This window comes from Homo sapiens, chromosome 10, assembly GCF_000001405.40.
Source record: "Homo sapiens chromosome 10, GRCh38.p14 Primary Assembly".
Lineage (NCBI taxonomy): Eukaryota > Metazoa > Chordata > Mammalia > Primates > Hominidae > Homo > Homo sapiens.
In genome coordinates this window covers 91,962,011-91,982,372 of record NC_000010.11, presented here as the reverse complement: position 1 = coordinate 91,982,372, position 20,362 = coordinate 91,962,011, and the positions used below count along the sequence as shown (strand labels likewise).

At 36.6% G+C, this 20,362-nt stretch overlaps 1 protein-coding gene across 20 annotated transcripts in view; it reads right to left on the bottom strand.

The window, feature by feature from the left end:
- Window positions 1-20,362, bottom strand: part of BTAF1 (B-TFIID TATA-box binding protein associated factor 1) — a 107,668-nt gene that overhangs the window by 49,065 nt on the left and 38,241 nt on the right. For 17 of the 20 annotated variants that reach the window (NR_165093.1, NR_165097.1, NR_165099.1 and 14 more), the window contains 6 exons: window positions 19,695-19,835; window positions 18,172-18,296; window positions 15,616-15,736; window positions 1,815-1,919; window positions 581-730; window positions 148-290 (listed from right to left, as the gene is read on the bottom strand). Coding sequence is in view for 6 of the 20 variants with exons in the window: in NM_003972.3 (NP_003963.1) it covers window positions 148-290; window positions 581-730; window positions 1,815-1,919; window positions 15,616-15,736; window positions 18,172-18,296; window positions 19,695-19,835 (785 nt within the window). In the remaining 14 variants the exon portion in view is untranslated. The remainder of the gene's footprint in view (window positions 1-147; window positions 291-580; window positions 731-1,814; window positions 1,920-15,615; window positions 15,737-18,171; window positions 18,297-19,694; window positions 19,836-20,362) is intronic. The other 3 variants (NR_165098.1, XM_011540326.3, NR_165096.1) reach the window with 2 other exon arrangements.

Here is a 20,362-nt window from a genome sequence, read left to right as displayed (position 1 = left end):
TTACTCTAATTTTTCCTTAGGCTATAATTAGTGTGATGAAGGAAGGAAGGACTGATGGAGACAGCAGAGGAATCTTCTGTTGGTTAAATAACCTTTGAAAGCCAGACTTGTAAATGTATGACTACCTGACACTTAATGTACACTCACTTGGCTGCCATCATTCTGGCCCGCATAACTACAAAATCCCTGGTGGCTGGGTCTTCCATGATGGTGTCGGCACCTGCAATATACTCCTGAAGTACTTCTTTATTCTGGCTTTGGCCTTGGCGCACCTTACCACCTGTTTTTTCCTACAGAGGGAGGGGAAAAAAAAACAATAAAGATTAACCATTAAAACTGAATAGGCAACAACAAAAATATGATATTTTTAAAATAATCCCAGTAAAATACAGTTCTTTTCACAAAATTTTAATGGATAAACATTACTATTCATTTTGTCAGGGTCCTAATAAAATAACGGTTTCTCCTTACTTATGTTAATTAAATCACACTTAAGGCAATACAGATTTTTAAAAATATGGTTACTGTATTAATAATTAGATGATGAACACACAAATACACTATGTCCCTCTACACTTACCTTGGCTCTAGCTTTTACTTCTAGCAACATATTTAAATCGATAGGTAAATGAGAAGGCTGCATCATCAAGCAAAGCCAAGCACCCATCCATGGGCAAGCAGCTGCTACCACATACTGAACTGAAGCCTTACTCAACAGTTCCATCCAAACCTGCAGGGTAAAAGGGGGACATGAAAGTGAATTTTTTCTAATAAAAATAAACTCTAACACTTATCTTTAGGAATACTGAGGTTTTTTTAAGTAGGAAATAGCACAGAGATTAATTTAGAAATTCAATATAGAGGCTTATTTTGAAATACAGTACTGTTTTCTAATAGGTTTGTGCACTAAAAAAAAAGTCATGCAAAGGAAAGTTTTTTTTTAAAAAAAGAACACAATTCTCTTTTTAAAAAAACATGCCTATAAAAGTAATACAAAATTGTCAAAATCTCAGTAAGTCACTGAAATAAATCCTTTGCATATATCATAAGACTCAATATTAATGCAGTCCTATATTCAACACACATTTAAAAATAGCTCCTAATATTCTCTGCTAAACTCAAAGGTGGTAATAACCTAGTATAAATTTAAAACAGTATAAGTTTTGATTCATGATCTTACTTAATAAGGATAAGGTACCTTTCCTGATGCCTAACATTTAATGGGCTAGGACTAGCCTATGGCAAGATCACCACTGTTAATCCAAGGTTGTTAACAAGGAGTCACTTTAGAGGCCAACAATTCAAGAGTAATTTAACAGATTATAAAGGTACAAAAGTGCCATTTCCCCCCATAAATGCTATTAAATATATCAAACGGCTCCTCCTTTAATGATTCTAACACATATGATCACTCTAAGTAGGGAAAAAAGTACAAGTTTCAACAATAATTAGACTCTATATTACCAACAGATCCTAAAAGATACTTTGCAGGATCTATAAGCATATTGATAAACAGCAAGATGAGGGCTAGAGAAAAGCAATCTTTTCCTCATTTCATTTTCTGTATTGAGGCTATCAGAAAGTGCTTAAAACACCTGTGTAAGTCACATAATAAGAGGAAGAAGCATGGCCAATCAAAACTTAACTATTACATGCTACATGTAAGAAGCCTAGTTCTCTGTCTCATTATGCAGATCTCCAGACTTTTCAAATCTCCATGAGATATGAATGACCAACAGAACAGCAATTATGAAAAATTTTAAAAATCTACAAAAGTTACTAGGAAAAGGAACACAAATACATTTGCTGTGTACCTTGTGAATAAGGTCCAGAATTTCCTGGCTGCTTTCCAAAACACAGAACTGAAAAATGTGTCGGAGCATATCAGGCAGTATAGGTATAAGCCAAGATGAAGAGTTCTGAAAACAAAAACAGAATTAAAAGCTGTAGCATATAATTCTTGGATGTTAGCTTACCTGAAGAATTATATGTCAAATAACAAAAGTACTACCATGAAAAGACTGCATGGTTTCATTAAAAAGGCTAAACAGGTGATAAACTTTGACAAGATTTTGAGGCAACAACACCATATTTATTATACCAATGGTCTGAAGAAATAACAACATATAATCACTGGGAAGCTGGAAAAAGTCTGATTATCATTAACAACAATTTTTCCTCAAAGTTGAAATCATCCTCCATATGGAACCATCCTCTAACCAGCAACATCTCTCTGGTTATACCATACATCACTGCTTTGTCAAGAAAATCTATAAAATAATCAGGTTACTGCTGTTGTGCTAGATGATCAGAGTTTAAGTTCTATATGCTCACCAATAATCCAAGTAATGAATTATACTATAATATCCAACCTAGAAACTTCTACTTGGAGTTCACTACAAAATTAAGGTAAAAGTTCTTAATCTATTTTGGGTCAGGGACCCTTTAAAACTCTGATGAAAACTATGTACACTATGTTATCAGAAAAACATATAATTACTAACAATATTTTGCTTCCAAGGTTCAGGGATCTCCTAAAGCCTGGGTTACAAACCTCAATTTAAGGAACTTCCTAACAATTCAAAGGCCCACCCAAATCAAGCAACCAAATAGTGCTTCACCAAATATCTAATGTGTGTCCAGAAATCCCAGAATAAGGAATCCCAAACTGTCTATTGCTATTCAAACAATTACAAGCTCACTGGATAGAAATGTCCATCAGAGAAATTCTACTAACTAGCTCAAAGTACCTAACAGCCCCTGCCCTCCACATGACTTTTTTTAAGCACTAAATACAGTGTTTTTAAGAGAAATTTGGAAATTTTAACTGAAATTGCAGAAATCCACAGGTTCTAGGGATAATAAATGTTTAAGTTAGAAAGCTACCTATAATTTGTAGCCAATGGAAAACTAATGACAAAGGTAGGACCAGGGTTTTATGTTCTCAACATGGTTTGAAACAAGTTTTAAAAGGGCCACATGACTCCTCAAAGAGGTAAAAACAGAACTGCCATTTGACCTAGCAATTTCTTTACTGGGTATATACCTAAAGGAATATAAATCATTATATCATAAAGACATATGCATGAATATGTTCACTGCAACACTATTCACAAGAGCAAAGACACGGAATCAACCTAAATGCCCATCAACAGTAGTCTGGATAAAGAAAATGTGGTACACATACACCATGGAATACTATGCAGTCTTAAAAAAGAATAAGCTCATGTTCTTTGCAGGAACATGGATGGAGCGGGAGGCCATTATCCTTAGCAAACTAACACAGGAACAGAGAAGTACATATTCTCACCTGTAAGTGGGAGCTAGCTGATGAGAACACAAGGACACAAAGAGAGGAACAAAAGACACTGGGGCCTACTTGAGGGTGGGAAGGAGGGAAAGGATCAGAAAAAATAACTACTGGTTATTAAGCTTTAGTACCTAGGTGGCAAAATAATCTTACAACAAACCCCCGTGACATAAGTTTACCTACATAGCAAACCTGTACATGTACCCATGAACCTAAAATGAAAGTGAAAAAAAAAAAAAAAAAAAAAACAAGCCATAAATCATCCATTGGAGGAGCATTCTCACTACTTCACTGTCTTAACTCTACTTTTCTGATAACACAGGACATTTCATTGGATAGAAATGTCCATCAGAGAAATTCTACTAACTAGCTCAAAGTACCTATCAGCCCCTGCCCTCCACATGACTTTTTTAAAGCACTAAATACAGTGTTTTTAAGAGAAATTTGGAAATTTTAACTGAAATTGCAGAAATCCACAAGTTCTAGGGATAATAAATGTTTAAGTTCTAGACAAAGAGAAAGAGAAAGGGAAGCTGGGAAGAAAAAAGTTCTTATTTTCTCACTGGAGGGAATTAGGGACAATCTTAACAGAATTAGGAAAGCTATAACAGCAATAAGCAAATAATTTGGTGTTACTCTTCCATAATGTCTCTTAATTTCTGATTTTCCCCCCAAAATATTTACCAACTCTGTTCCCCGACCCTCAACCCCAACACTGGCAATCCAAGCAGTTGCCTGTAGGTCCCCAAAAGTCACATCTATAGAGGAAGATTTTCCCCCTATATTTATGACCAATACATGTAATATAAACTGTAGTTGTCTTCTCAGGCTACAAACATCGTTACTCTACTAAATTCTACTTTATAATTATTAAAAACAGCCAGAGAAGGAAAGGATACATGGGTAGAACACAGGATTTTTAGGGCAGTTAAACTATTCTGTGTGATACTGTAATTGTGGATACATGACATCATGTTTGTCAAGCCAATAGAATGTATACTACTGAGGGTGAACCCTAAAGTAAATTATGGACTTTGGTTGATAATAATGTGTCAATGCAGGTTCGCTGATTGTAACAAATTAGTACTAGTCTGGTATGGAATACTGATGGTGGGGGAGGCAGTGTTGAGGATGGGGGATGGGATATATGGAAACTGTACTTTTCCCTTCAATTTTGCTATGAACCTAAACTGCTCTGAAAAATAAAGTCTAGGCAAATAAGCATATGAAAAGATGGCCCACATCGTATGTTGCCAGGAAAATACAAATTAAAACAACGATGAGATACCACTCTATACCTGTTAGCATGGCCAAAATCCAGAACACTGACAACAACAAATGCTGGCCAGGATATGAATCAACAGGAACTCTCACTCATTGCTGGTAGAAATGCAAAATGGGGCAGCTATTTTGGAAGTTTCTCACAAAAATTAAAAATACTCTTACCATCCAGCAATTGTGCTTCTTGATATTACCCAAAGGAGGCAAAAAAGTCCACACAAAAATCTGCACAAGATGTTTATAGCAGCTTTATTCATAACTGCCAAAACTTGGAAGCAGGCAAGATGTCTTCGGTAGGTGAATGGATAAACAAACTGGTACAACTAGACAATGGAGTATTATTCACTAAAAAGAAAATGAACTATCAAGTCATGAAAAGACACAGAGAAATCTTAAATGCATATTACTAAGTGAAAAAAGCCAATCTGAAAAGGCTCCATACTATATGATTCCAACTATATGACATTCTGGAAAAGGCAAAACTATGGAAATGGCGTTTCTTCCTCTGATCTGCCTTCCGGAGACTCAGAATAAGGAGAGTTGATGACAAACAGAAATAAGACTATGGACATTTCACTGTACCTGAAAATGAAGGTTAAACTTCTAACTATCTATACCCCCCTTCCATGTTGCCCTCCACCAAACCAACTTCCTGTCACTTATTTAGTGCCATTCTGCTCTCTCCTGCCTCCAGAGTTACACATACTATTCCCTCCTCTGACTCTTACCCTTATTTTCCCCTGGCTAAATTCCACTTACCCTTCAGGTTTCAGCTTAAACTTCACTTCTAACATGATGCCTTCCCTGTCCATCACCCATCTCATTTAGGATCCAATAGTGTCTTCTACCTCCCATATCAGAGTTACCTCATTAAGTTATTCTTGTTTAATTATTTGTCTTCTCCTGTCTAGTCTCCTATTTTAAGCACTACAGGAGAGCAAAGGCCTTGTCTCTTACCACTATCTAGAAAATTGTTCGAGCCCATAGCAGGCACTTAAATAGTTGTTGAAATCCATCCTGGCCACTGGAAATAATCCAAATTCGTATCGTAAGGAATAGTTGCCAATATGCAAAATTTCCCAAAATTGTGATACTGTAATATAAGAAATTTTTTTTCAGCATTTTGTCCAGGGTCTTAAAAAGAAACGTATTTGATCTTCATCCCCAGCTCCTGGCACAGAGCTCCTAAAACCCAAAGAACTTCCTGAGTGATAGGGATTATTCATAACCATAATCTAGTTTGTGCTAACGAAGTGACTCTTGGGAGGCCCCAAGATAGCTTCAGAAGGGGGCTGGTTGCCAGAGGAACTAACTATGTGATTAGAGGGCTAAAAAATTTCAGACTGCCTCCTGCTCCCCACCTCCAGAGCTAGAGGGGTTGGAGATTAAGTTAATCACCTCACTAATGGCTAATAATTCAATCAATCATGACTACATAATAGAGTCTCCATAAAACACCTACATTTATGGGTTTATGGGTTGGTGAGTGCACAGAGGTGCTGAGGGTGGCATGCCTAAAGAAGACATGGAAGCTCCACGTACCTCATCCCCATACCTTGCCTTGTGCATCTCCTTCCATCTGGCTGTTCCTAAGTTGTGTCCTTTATAGAAAACCGGCAATTGTAATTACCAGTTTAACAGCCTTTCTGAGTTCTGTGAAGCATTCTAACAAGTTATCAAACCTGAGGAGAGGGTCAGGGGAACCCAGTTTACAGATGGTAGGTCAGAAGTACGGAAGGTCCAACACTTGCAACTGCTATCTGTTGTGCGACTGAGCTCTCTAACTTGTGGGAGCTGACACTAATTCCAGGTAGACTGTCAGAACTGAACTGAATTGTATGATACCAAGTTGGCAACCAGGGAGTTGGATAATTGGTTGGTGTAAGGAAAAAACCCACACGTTTGGTGTCAGGAATGTTGTATTGTAAAAATGGCTCAGCCATAGATCCCTAACTGGCAGATTTGGCATCTCAGGTGGGATAAGATCTTGTCTGTACCCTTTTGTTACGGTCCCTCTTTTATCTTCCCACAAAATGGGTACACTCAGAAAAAAGGAGCAATCTGAGCATTACCACAAACACCTGATTCTTGCCTGCAGGCCAATTCATCATTTCTACCAGCATATCAAATGCTCTCAGACTGCAGGGAAGAAGATCAGGAGAGAACCTGTAAGTTGGTGATGAATCACACTGGGTTCTTTCACTAATTTTACTAATTTGCTCTGAAACCCTATTGTGATCCACAGCCAAAGGAAAAGAAAATTTCCATATCAGACAGTTTATAATGCCTTGTTCTATTCATTTCTCCAACCAACATTTATTGAAGGTCAGCTAAATATTTCAACTTTGCTCTCTCCTTTTCATATTTTTATAAAATCTGGCAATACCCAAATATGCTAGCATTCTCTAAGGCCAAAGTCTTAGTTCAGGCTATTCTTTTGGTCTTTGTTTCCTACTTATTTGTGTATGTTAAATTTTCTAACATTCGAAATTATGCTTCAGATTCCAACTCAATCTCATGTATATCTTCATGTAATAACTAAGCTTGCCTTTCAAACAAAAGTTAATGTATTGGTAACTGAAATTTTGGAATGACTCACAAAGTGACTGAGATGCAATGGAATGGAAAAGTTGACCCAGTCAGTAAAGAAGGCAAAATAGGAGATTCATGTCTAGGAGTTTGTCTGGCAACAACAGTTACCAGTTACTAACACTAGTTAATCTGGATATTTCAGTAGTTCACTGATAGATATATATATTAATAGGTGTACTCTAGCACGTACAAACACACTGGCTAAAGAGACAATATAGAAAGGACAAACAAATGGTAAATTCCTTCACTTTGATTACCAAGCTGCTAGTTTAGCAAAAAAAAGTTATACCTTGATTGTAAATCATTATGAAATAAAACTAGTTGTTTTTTGTTTTTGAGACGGAGTTTCACTCTGTCACCTAGGCTGGAGTGCAGTGGTGCAATCTCTCGGCTCATTGCAACCTCTGCCTCCCGGGCTCAAGTGATTCTCCTGTCTCAACCTCCCGAATAGCAGGGATGACAGGCACCCACCACGACTCCTGGCTAATTTTTGTATTTTTAGTAAAGACAGGGTTTCACTGTGTCAGCCAGGCTGGTCTCAAACTCCTGACCTCAAGTGATCTGCCTGCACTGGCCTCCCAAAGTCCTGGGGTTACAGGAGTGAGCCACTGTGCCTGGCCATGGTTTTTCTTAAGAGTACCTACTTCATGCTCCTCAAGATGCCAAGCTTGCCAATTCTTTCACATGTTAACATCACAGAAGAAGGCACACTGATTAAACAATATATTTTCACAAATGCCATGGTATGCCACAGGGAAGTATAAAGGAAATAATGTTTCAGAGACAACTGCATTAACTGTAGTTTTATTTAAGGACATTTTAGAGATGTGCATGCCAGCACACATACTTATAATGGATACCTTTTAAAAATAAGGACATCTCCCTTATAAAATCTACTGATTTTACAAAGCAAAACAAAACCAAAAAATTACTAAAGATAACCAGGATAATTTCAAGGAAACAGAAGCATCAATCTTTACAACGCAGTGACACACTGAGCTATAGCCAAGTCTGACCTTGAAAAATTACTTTAGAATTATTGAGGTATAGCTTGAGAAGTTAGAAACTGAAACCAGGACACAGCTACTAGTAATTCAGGTGAGTTTCCTTTTCTCACTTTGTAGTTAAAATGACTCCATAAGCAGAAGTGGGAAAGCAATTAGACACATAATTATTTTGTCCCCGTATAAAATTTAGTTAAAAGCTGAAAGCCAGAATAAGATCTGAAACTGAAGTGAGCTGCTTATATGAGCTTGGGAAAGTTTCTTTTTTTTTTTTTTTTTTTTGAGACGGAGTCTCGCTCTGTCGCCCAGGCTGGAGTGCAGTGGCGGGATCTCAGCTCACTGCAAGCTCCGCCTCCCGGGTTCACGCCATTCTCCTGCCTCAGCCTCCCAAGTAGCTGGGACTACAGGCGCCCGCCACTACGCCCGGCTAATTTTTTGTATTTTTAGTAGAGACGGGGTTTCACCGTTTTAGCCGGGATGGTCTCGATCTCCTGACCTCGTGATCCGCCCGCCTCGGCCTCCCAAAGTGCTGGGATTACAGGCGTGAGCCACCGCGCCCGGCCGGGAAAGTTTCTTAATCTTTGATTATCAGTTCTCTCATCTGCAAAACAGGAATGGCAGTAGCCACCTCATGTAAACTGCTTAGCACAGTTCCTAGCATAAAGTAAGCCCTCAACAGCTTAGATTATTATTATCACAATTAAATATCATTCCTATACCCCAGAATAAGGAAAGAATGCTCAGAATGGAACTACTAATTATTCTTTTAGTATCTGTACTATTATTTATACTTGTATAGCATTAACATTTTCAAAGCACTTTCATACACATTATCTCACTTGATCCATGTAACTCTGACAGAGGCTAGAGATAATCACCAGAGAGGGTTAGACAAATCTGACAAAGGTCATAAATTAGCAAATGATAGAGCCAAAGTTAGAACTCAGATCCTGTCTATTTAAGGGATCTTTTCATTTTACCATTGAAGGGGTAACAACAGTGATAAAAAGCTCTATTTAACGGCTCTTTACATTATGATTGCTTCCATAAAGGATTGCTGACTAATTAGGAATACTTAACAACACTAAGAAATCAAAGGCAAGGAAGCAGCTCAGAAAAAGGAACACAAATTAAAAGTGAGAGTGGATTTTTATTATCACAATAGGTCAATGATCTTTCATCCAAATTCCCTGGAGCCAGAAGTGTTTTGAAACTCAGAAATTTTTCAAATTTTAGAATAATGAATTGTATACAGTGTATATTATATAATATCTCCAATACAATACCAGTAGCACCTGAATAAAATATATTAATATTTCTGCAGCAAAATGTGTGAATAGGCACATTAAGTGGGATAAAGACTAAACAGTTTCTCTTCAGAATGGTCAGGTTTTGCCACCAAATTAGTAGTTTTATAAATTGACCCAATTCACAATAAGCTTTGGCTTTCAAAGTTGCAGGAAAGGAATCATGGAACTGCACCACAAAGAGTTTGCACACAGCTATAAATTAATCAATAAGTAACTTTCAGGCAATTTGTGGAGAGGAATACAATAACAGATAAAAGCATCAGAGATGGTTTATTCGTACAGCTTTTCAGAAAGCAAATAATGGGATCACAAGATTAACAATAAAAATTAAATGAGTTTTCATTGCATAATGACGACTTTAAACAATGATTTAGATAAAACAAGTTACAGAAGTTGGAAATGCTTTGTCGCACTAGAGATTTGATTTGTCTCATGAGAGAAAAGGTACAGAGAGGAAGAAACGGAGCTAAAATTTAGGAAGGTGAGAGTGGGAGGGAGTGGGGGTAGGGGAGCAGGGAGCAAGGAGCCATGTCCAAAGATACTTTGGTCAAATGAACATGATTACACTTAGGATACAGGAGTGGATTTAGAAAATGTTCTTGACTCCAGAGTATACATTAGGAAATATTAGGGGAAAATGTTGACAAGAGCCAAGTATTAGAAAACCAAGAAAGACAGGAATTTAATTCTAATATAGTGGTAGGCGATTACAAATTACTAACCAGTTTGTGAGTAACTGAGGCTATGGTCCCCCAAATCCTTCTGAAACTTAAATTCTTTCCTTTTAGAAATGCTATGACCATGTAGAAACGAAAATTCCAAACTTTAAGGAGCATACTGGAGAAAGGATGATAATTTTTATGAATACACAGAAGGCAGAAGTAGGTAAATTAGAAGATAGGATTATAACTTAAATTTTTTATGACAAAAACTTGAAACAAGACAAAATTATAAGAAATGTCAATTATGGATGGTGTAAACATAAATGAATGCTGTTTCATACAATTCCCTGCTCTTTTCTCCATTAAAAAAAAAAATCCCAAAATTTAAAAAAAGGAAATAGGTGGTAGTATTAAGAAAAGCTTCCTGAAAGGTTTGGCTTTGGGCTGGGCACGGTGGCTCATGCCTGTAATCCCAGCACTTTGGGAGGCCGAGGCAGGTGGATCACCTGAGGTCAGGAGTTCAAGACTAGCCTGACCAACATGGCGAAACCCTGTCTCTACTAAAAATACAAAAATTAGTCAGGCGTGGTGGCGCATGCCTGTAATCCCAGCTACTCAGGAGGCTGAGGAAGGAAATCGTTTGAACCCGGGAGGCAGCGGTTGCAGGGAGCCAAGATCATGCCGTTGCACTCCAGCCTGGGCAACAAGAGCAAAACTCCATCTCAAAAAAAAAAAAAAAAAAAAGTTTGGCTTTATACCATTATTTGAAAACACAGAATGAAATAGCCAATAAAAATAGTAAAGCATGTATGTGGGGACCAAAATCAGAGACTGCTAAGAATCAGTGATTAGTGCCATAGCCATAGTCTTTGGTGGTGAAGATAATAAACAGCAAGGATCAGGGCAGTGACAAAGCACAAAATCTGGAAGCACCAATATTAAGTTTCACAGACAGCATCTCTTTCAGTAAAGAGATACGCTGAAGATAAAGGCTAAACACAAGTGAAATTTCATGAATGATGCCATTGAAAAGTTATGAAAAATAATAGAAAAAGAAGCTAAAAGCATAATCAACACAAAAGGATACAGGAAACACAATAAACATTAAGACTCCAACAAAAAAGGACCACAAACATGTCAGAATAACTGGAAGAAAAATATGGAAGCAGAATGTTTTAAAAGTCTAAAGGGAACAGACTAGAAAAGCACTTTTGTTCAAAACACATTCTGTATGCTTGTCTAACTTGAAATTGACATATTCAGTAAAACGTCTGTGAAAGTACATATCAAAGATACTAAATATGAATCAAAAAGAAGTGAGGGAATACTAGTTTTTTTAACCACATCACCTAATCTTCCTGATCTTTCAGCTTAGTTTGTCTTTTAATGCTGCTGTCTGACATCTCTCACATACTGGTCTTCTGTTATTTAACTCTTTGTAGAGGTTATTAAACTTACCATGTAATATAATAGTCTTATAGCAACCATACTGTAAACTTTTCCAAGGTAAGAAACATGTAGGATGATATGGTTTGGCTCTGTGTCCCCATCCAAATCTCATCTTGTAGCTCCCATAATTCCCATGTGTTGTTATAGGGACCCAGTGGGAGATAAGTGAATCACGGAGTGGGTCTTTCCTGTGCTGTTCTCATGACAGCGAATAATTCTTACAAGATCTGACAATTTTAAAAACAGGAGTTTCCCTGCACAAGCTCTGTCTTTGCCTGCTGCCATCCACATGGACGTGACTTGCTCCTCCTTGCCTTCCACCATGATTGTGAGGCTTCCCCAACCATGTGGAACTAAGTCCAATTAAACCTCTTTCTTTTGTAAATTGCCCAGTCTCAGGTATGTCTTTATCAGGAGTGTGAAAAAAGGCTAATACACAGGATTTCTTTTTTTTATTTCCCAGGAAACCCAGCACAGAATCTCACACTAATTTACTTAACAAACATTGAGGGCCCATGCTTAAAAGGTGGCTAACATGCCACAAATTACATACAAAGACAATGGCATTCTGGTATAGGAAATGATAAAGAGTCATATTAAATGATAAAGAAATGAAGGCTAGTACCAAAGCCTTCATTTATGAGCCAGCAAGGGCAAATTCAAAAGGAAAAAAAAAAAATCCCTGGACAAGAAAATCAACATCAAAGAACACAGAGATGTTTTCACAACCAGGAAATTTTAAAAGCCAATATCCATAATCATTGAGGGACTAAAAATTGGAAGGCGAATTTTTTTTTTTTTTCTGAGACAGGGTCTTGCTCTGTTATCCAGGCTTGGCAGTGGTGCAATCTCGGCTCACTGCAGCCTCTGCCTCCCAGGTTCAAGCAATTCTTGTGCCTCAGCCTCCCGAGTAGCTACGATTACAGGCAGACACCATCATGCCCAGCTAATTTTGGTATTTTTAGTAGAGACAGGGTTTCACCATGTTGCCCACGTTGGTCTGGAACTCCTGGCCTGAAGTGATCCGCCCGCCTCAGCCTCCCAAAGTGCTGGGATCACAGGCCTGAGCCACCACGCTGGGCCCGACGGGGATTTATAACAATCTTGGGATCTTATTTATAGCAAAAATTTTAGAACAAGGGAGGAGGTATTACAAGACTAACAAAAGTGAGAAATCACAATTGACAGCAGAGAGGAGATAAAAATTAGGCAACAGCAAACCGAAAAAGAACAGTTCAATTACTGCAAACAGTGACTCATGTATCTCAATATTCCCACAGTATGCTATAATAAACAGTATAAAAACTAATAACCAACAAATAATATTGGTGACTGACTCACCAAAAAAAAGTTAGCTTATGTTTAATATACTTTAAAATGATGATCTACTGTGGCAGTCATTTTAATAGCTAACTTTTTTTTTGTGGCAAAAAAAGTATATTTCAGTTATTTGAAAATTTCATTTATACAGAATACCTTATTTTCTAGTAATGTAAAGTTGGTATTACTAATAATAAAGTCACAAGTTAAAAATAGCCTGCAGGTGGCTTGATCACCTAATAAGGAATAAAAGGGCTTTAAAAAACAATATGAAACTGTATCTAAAATATACAAAGAACTCTTAAAATTCAACAATAAGAAAACAACCCAATATTAAAATAGGCAAAAGACTAGCTTGGGTAACCTAGCAAGACCTCATCTCTAACAAAAAAAAAAAAAAAAAATTTTTTTTTTTAATTAGCCAGACATGGTGGTGCGTGCTTGTAGTCTCAGCTACTCAGGAGGCTGAAATGGGAAGATCACTTGAGCCCACGAGTTCAGGATTGCAGTAAGCTATGATCACACCCATGCAACAGTGTGAGACCTTGTCTCAAAAATAAAATAAATAAATAAAAATAGGCAAAAGCTGAACAGACACCTCACCGAAGATGAGAGGTAGATGGCGAATAAACATATGAAAAGATGCTTAACATCATGTATCACTAGGAAACTGCAAATTAAAACAACAATGAAATACTACTACACACTTATAAGAATGGCTAAAACCCAAAACACTGACAAAAAATGCTGGCCAGAATGTAAAGCAATAGGAACCCTCACTCATTGCTGGTAGAAACACAAAATGGTACAGCCACTTGGAAGACAGTTGGCAGTTTCTTACAAAAGTCAACATACCCTTACCATACAATTCAGCAGATACGCTCCTTGGTATTTACTCAAGTGAGTTGAAAACTTAATGCCCACATAAGAACCTGCACGTGAATGTTTGTAACAATTTTATTCATAATTGCCAAAAACTGGAAGCAATTAAGATGTCCTTAGAAGGCAAATGAATAAACTGGTACAGACAATGGAGTATCATTCCGTGATAAAAAGAAATGGGCTACCATGACATGAAAAGACATGGAGAAACCTTAATTTCATATTGCTAAGTGAAAGAAGCCAATTTGAAAAGGCAGCATACTATATGATTCCACTATGTGATATTTTGGAAAAGACAAAATTAAGGAGACAGTAAGAAAGATCAGTGGCTGTTAAGGGTTGAGGGACAGGGAAGGAAGGATGAATAGGTGGAACACAGGGGATTTTGGGGATAGTTAAACTACTCTGTATGATACTGTAATGGTGGGTACATATTATTGTACATTTGTAAATGTACAATATGTACAAAATGTACAGAAGAGTGAACGAACCCTACTGTAAAGTGTGGACTTTAATGTATCAATATTGGCTCATCAGTTTTAATAAATGTACCACACTAATGCAAGATGTTAACAATAAGGGGAACTATGTGTGGGTAGTAGGAGGGATAAAAGGGTATTCAGGAACTTTCTGTACTTTTCCTTCATTTTTTCTGTAAATCTAAAACTGCTATTAAAAATAAAGTCCATATATACAAAAAGAATGATATGAAGATAAAAAATTTGGTAACTTCAAAGGGTCTACATAAAATGAATTTAAGAATTCACAAACATTTAGGCAAAAAGCATAAAAATAAAGCAAAAATGAAATGAAAATTAAGAACAACCCATGCCAGCTGTCATATCAGCCCATGCTTGATCAACTGAGAACTGTAAAACAAACCTGACAGTTGTTCTCAGAGATTTGGATCAGACAAAATCAAAATGATAATGCCAAACAAAATTTACAGATGTTTATTTACAGAAGTTCAACAGAGTATCATGCTGCACACTAAGGCAAGTCTACACAAAATGTTCCTAATTCACATGAGAATCCAGTTAGTGAACACAAAAGAGGCACTTATTCACTACTTAGTCACTATTTTTAAAAAATGATTGGCCCAAACTGTAGTACCTATTAACTGCACACTAGAAAACTAAATTTCTTATTGATAATCCCCTAAATCTAGGTACTTTGTTTGACCTATAAGGTTATTTTAAAAATGGGAATGTGAAGCCTTTTATAAACAGGGCAAGGACTCCTAAGCTTACCACAGGCTCCATTTACACACTGATATTATCTGAATGATCTCTGTAGACATTTCAACGTGACTCCTGAAGTATACTATCCTTGAAAATAGCATGCTCTTAAGATTGAAAAATCTTTAAATAAAGGCAAGAGCCTGGGAATTCCTTGGTAAGTCTTTTAAGAGTTGTACTCTAGACCTTCAAATGTAGCCTTCTCACCTGGGCCATGGGTTCTGCCAGCCACCCAACTGTCAGCCACACAGACAAAGAGCATGCAAAGACTATATAACAGGTCTCTGACAGGAAGAGACTATTCAATCAATCACTCATTCAACAAACATTTACTGAGGACTTCCTATGTGTTAAGCATGATTTCAAGTGGTGAGAATACAATCTAGAACAAAATATTAAAATATTTCTGCTCTTACAGTGATTATATTCATCTACATGGTTACCATACCACTAGGCCCAACATTGTCCTGATCTTTGGATATACAGCAAGGGTAAGCTAAAGACCAGGTTTATTTTATAAAATTAATTTATATAAGTTTCAAGACTGCTATAGTTATCAGTTCTTACCTGGTCCTGTGTTGATAATAACGTAAACAGAGTTTCCAATGCTGCTCTTCGAACTGATGATATAGTGTGATGCAAAAAAGGCCAGACACGTGGAACTAAAACTGTCAGTGACTGCTGAATACTAATAAAGAAGACACAAATTAATCTTACTTATTCTAAGTTGTAACTCTGTAGATACATTATCTAAATATTCTCATGGGATCTAGTGATGCTGACACCATGTGACTTTTTTGATGAATAAATTCTTAAAAGATAATACAGTTTTCATATGAACATTCATGTAACAATGTCATTCACAACTGTTATCGTAGCAACAGAAGAGCCAGAGCAAATGCAGTCAAAAAGAAGGGTAGAAATACTAACATCAGGTTCTTCTATGGCACTAATGCTATGAGTCACCTTTATCAAGTTAGGACTTTCCAATGTAATTGTTCTTAGGAAAATGGGACATGTATCCTAGCTGGTAGTCAGCCTACATGATCAGGATTGCTAATCCTTACTTCTTCCCCATGGCTAACCCCAACGGGTAGATACACATAATTTCCATCTCCCTTTGGTGCCATCTCTGTCACATATCAAATGAGCAAGTGGTGGTATGGTAGCAACTTTGACATTTATTATCCTGGTGTAGCATTACTAAGTTAGGAAAACTCAAATTTCTTCCTTCTCATAGATTAAGTTTTAAATGGGGAAGCAAACAAAGCCAAGTCTAGACTAACTTGGGCCACAGGATTCCTGTCACATTCGTAAGTCATTTGTAAAAGTTACCTGGAACTAGGAAATAATTCATAAGCAGCATTTGAAATATATGGCTCCACAGAAAAAGACATAAGCAAAAAATAATATGCCACTGTATTTGGTCTTTTGTGGTTCCTCCCAGGAGGCCTATCTTTTAACACTATTTTCATTACTTGCAGGTTTGTATGAACACTACCTTCTTGTATTTATTTTCATATTTAGCAAATTTATTTATAAAATTCTAACTTAAACACAGGTACACATAGACATAAAAAAGACACAAAACACATAAAAGCATTATAACAAAGTCTTGTTAAATGTCTAACTGTTCATGCTCCAAATAACATGCTACATTTCTTCTTACATAAACTAGAAGAAAGTATCTGCCAAGTATCACAATATATGAAGCAAATTTGAAACAAAAAAGACGGAAAACTACATTATTTCACATTGAATTAATAGAATTTTCACTATATTCTTTTTTATATTATCCAGTTTTTCTGACACCATCCACTAAGGCCCATAGGCCAAATCCATTCCACCCATTTTTTTTTAAGTAGAAGTTTTATGTGTACACAGGCACGTTCATTCTCTTATGTATTACCCATGTACAGCTGTTTTCACACTACAGTGACAGCTTAGTAGTTTTGACAGACAGACTGGCTCACAAAACAAAAATACTCACTATTTGGGCCTTTGCAGAAAAAGATTACCAATCCTTGATTTACAGTAATGAAAAACCCCTTCATCTTGCAGCTTAAAGAGGGCTTTCACATAGATTAACTCATTTAGTTTGTACAGCTTTCATTAGTAATAGAAACATCAAAAATTAGGAAACCCCATAAATGTACTACCACTTCAATTTTTCTCTTCTTTTGCTTTTATAGGCACTTATTTTGCTATTCCTACTTATAGGCTATCCAACTAATCTAAACTTAGCATTAAAGTACTTCCAGTAGGTCAGTATTATTTGAAATATTTTCTACTTTTTTTATACATCTATGGGTTTCATGGGAAATACTCATAGAGCCAGAAACCACATATAAGCATTTATATGAACATTCACTGAACGCCCTCACTAGGACAAGAAGAGTAATTTTCTCATCTGTGAATTTTTTAAAGTTGCATAATAATTTTTTCTTCTCTGTCTCTAAGGACACTATTCTCTATCTCTAAGGACACTTATCTCTAACAATATTCAAGGGCCAGTCTAAAAGGTAGGGAATATGTTAATTCGCTGAGCTGAGATTCATATATCAGGACAGGAAAATTGGTGACACTAAATTTTTGATGTATGTTTTTGGCTTCATTTGATCTCTGCCTTTGGACATTATATTACATTATTATGTATTTCCTTCATGATAAGTAATTACTGAAATCAAGAACAAGAGTTGAAGACATGAACATTACAAAAAAAAAGTTCACAGAGGGGCAAGTTTTAGAAAATTTAAAGCTGATGTTCGATGATAATTCTGTTAACTAAATGTTACTAAATAAAGCTAAAATTCTACGTTCTAGGACTAGAACTGGAAATACTATTCAATGATTATATTTCTAAGTAAACAATTATAAGACGAACAAGACGATGAATTATATAACTGAAATATCTCAAGGGTAAAAAAAAAATGATCTTTGTAAGCTGCTGCCCGAATGGCTAGAGTAAAAAAGACAAGGCCTTCTGAAAACGGTAGTCTTTGGCATCTCCAGCTTAAATAATATTATTCTTAAAGGTGCTAAAATATTGTTATGTTTAGGCTGAATTATCTCGAAAGGTATGTAAAGACTTTTTACTTTATTCCACTAATTAGAAATAATTACCTGCATTGTTGGACCTGAGGGTAAGTTAACAAGGATGAAAGGAGAGTCATAATACTATTTGTTGAAGCTGTTAGATCATCTAATTCCAGAAGAGCATCCCACAATGTATTTATAATGAAGGGCACCTATAAGATCAGTTTTCAAGAAAAGTTATCAATTTTGCACAAAATACTCACAAACCCTGCCAAATGGTATCCCAGGGGTCACTACTGATTCAACAACACATGCAATTCCAATGACCTTGGACGGTGTCAATTTTGAGTAAAGTTAAGGAGGTCACACTATTTGCCTTTAACAATTCTCTATTCCTTCTTTTTAATGCCATTCAACTCTACTTTGATACTTCCCTGCCTGACCAGACTCATAATGGGTAGAATTCAGAAAATAAAAGAGCCACAACTATTTTATGTAAAAAACTTAACAGTGAAAACAACAGAGCATCGAGACACAAGACATGTTCTTCTATGTAATTTTACTGCATTTAAAATGGTACTAATCATCATAAAAAAAATTTAGTTTTTAAGCTCTTAAAATACTGCTTACTGTACTTCTAACTTTGTGTTCTGATTTTGATAATAAGGTGGAAAGTCAGCCAGATCTTTAAAAAAGTCATTTCAAAAAATGAGACTAGAGGGGTGGGTGTGATGAGTCACACCAGTAACCCCAGCACTCTGGAAGGCCAAGACTGGGAAGATCTCTTGAGCTTAGGAGTTTGAGACCAGCCTCGGCAACATAGGGGGACTCCCCCATCACTACAAAAAATAATTTTTTTTTTTTTTTTTTGAGACGGAGTCTCGCTCTGTCGTCCAGGCTGGAGTGCAGTGGCGCGATCTTGGCTCACTGCAAGCTCTGCCTCCCGGGTTCACGCCATTCTCCTACCTCAGCCTCCTGAGTAGCTGGGACTACAGGCGCCCGCCACCATGCCTTTTAAAAAATCAGCCAAGGCACAGTGGCATGTGTCTGTAGTCCCAGCTACTTAGGAGGCTGAGGCAGGAAGGACTGCTTGAGCCCAGGAGAGTGGGGCTACATGTCATCCACTGCACTCTGGCCTGGGTGACAGAGTGAGACCCAAGAAAAGAAAGAAAATGTTATGTGTATATATAGATTACACAGCACTTATTAGTTAATAATTAATACTAATTAATAATTAATAATGAGAGGAGGAGAGGAGAGACAGGGAGGGGAGGGGAGACTAGATTTAAAAAAACAATCCAAAAACTAAAATCAAAACAAACAAAAATCCAATATATCTAAAAACCAGGAGTAAAATTAGGAAGAAATGGCTGCATTCTTCTCAAGGAAGTTCCCTATATATTATGTACATGAAGGGAAAGTAGACAAATGGATCCAATTCACTCTTCCAAAGTACAATATATAATCAAGATTGCATGCATCAGAGGGCTGTTGTTAAAAAAAAAAATTGAAGATGAAGGAGAAAAATGTACACAATGTATTTTCTAATACTCCATATCCCAAATGAAAACAAGCTCTATAGTAAGAAACTGTAAAAATATTTAATTTACCTTTTGTGTCTGAAGATAGACAAGGCTTTCTACTACAGGCACTAATGATGCTGCAGCAACAGCTCTGACATCATCATCAAGATCCTGGAGTCCTTCAATTATTCTAGTTAAAACTTTAGGCAATAAAGTATTAATTACATCCTGTAAAACAGTACATGAAAATAAATTAATTTTCTATTCTACAGTTACTGTGCTTAAACATTTTAAAATTTAAATTTGCCACATGACAGCTAAATTCCAATATTTATAGTCATGCACTGCTTAACAATGGATACATTCTGAGAAATACATCAGGCAATTCTGTCATTCTGTGAACATTATAGAGTGTACTTACACAAACCTAAACAGTATAGCCTATACCACGCCTAACTATGTGTGTGACACAGCCTATTGCTTCTAGGCTACAAACCTGCACAGCATGTTACTGAACTGAATACCATAGGCAGCTACTAACAAAATGATAAATATTGGTATATTTAAATACAGAAAAGGTACAATCAAAGTACAGTATTATAATCTTATGGGACCACCATCATATATGTGGCCCATCATTGACTGAAACATCATTATGACTGTACCTACTAAAAAACAATCACATAAACAAAAATGTAACATCAATAGAAGCCTAAGTAATCCCATTTGAAAAAGACAAGGGCATCAAGTACTTT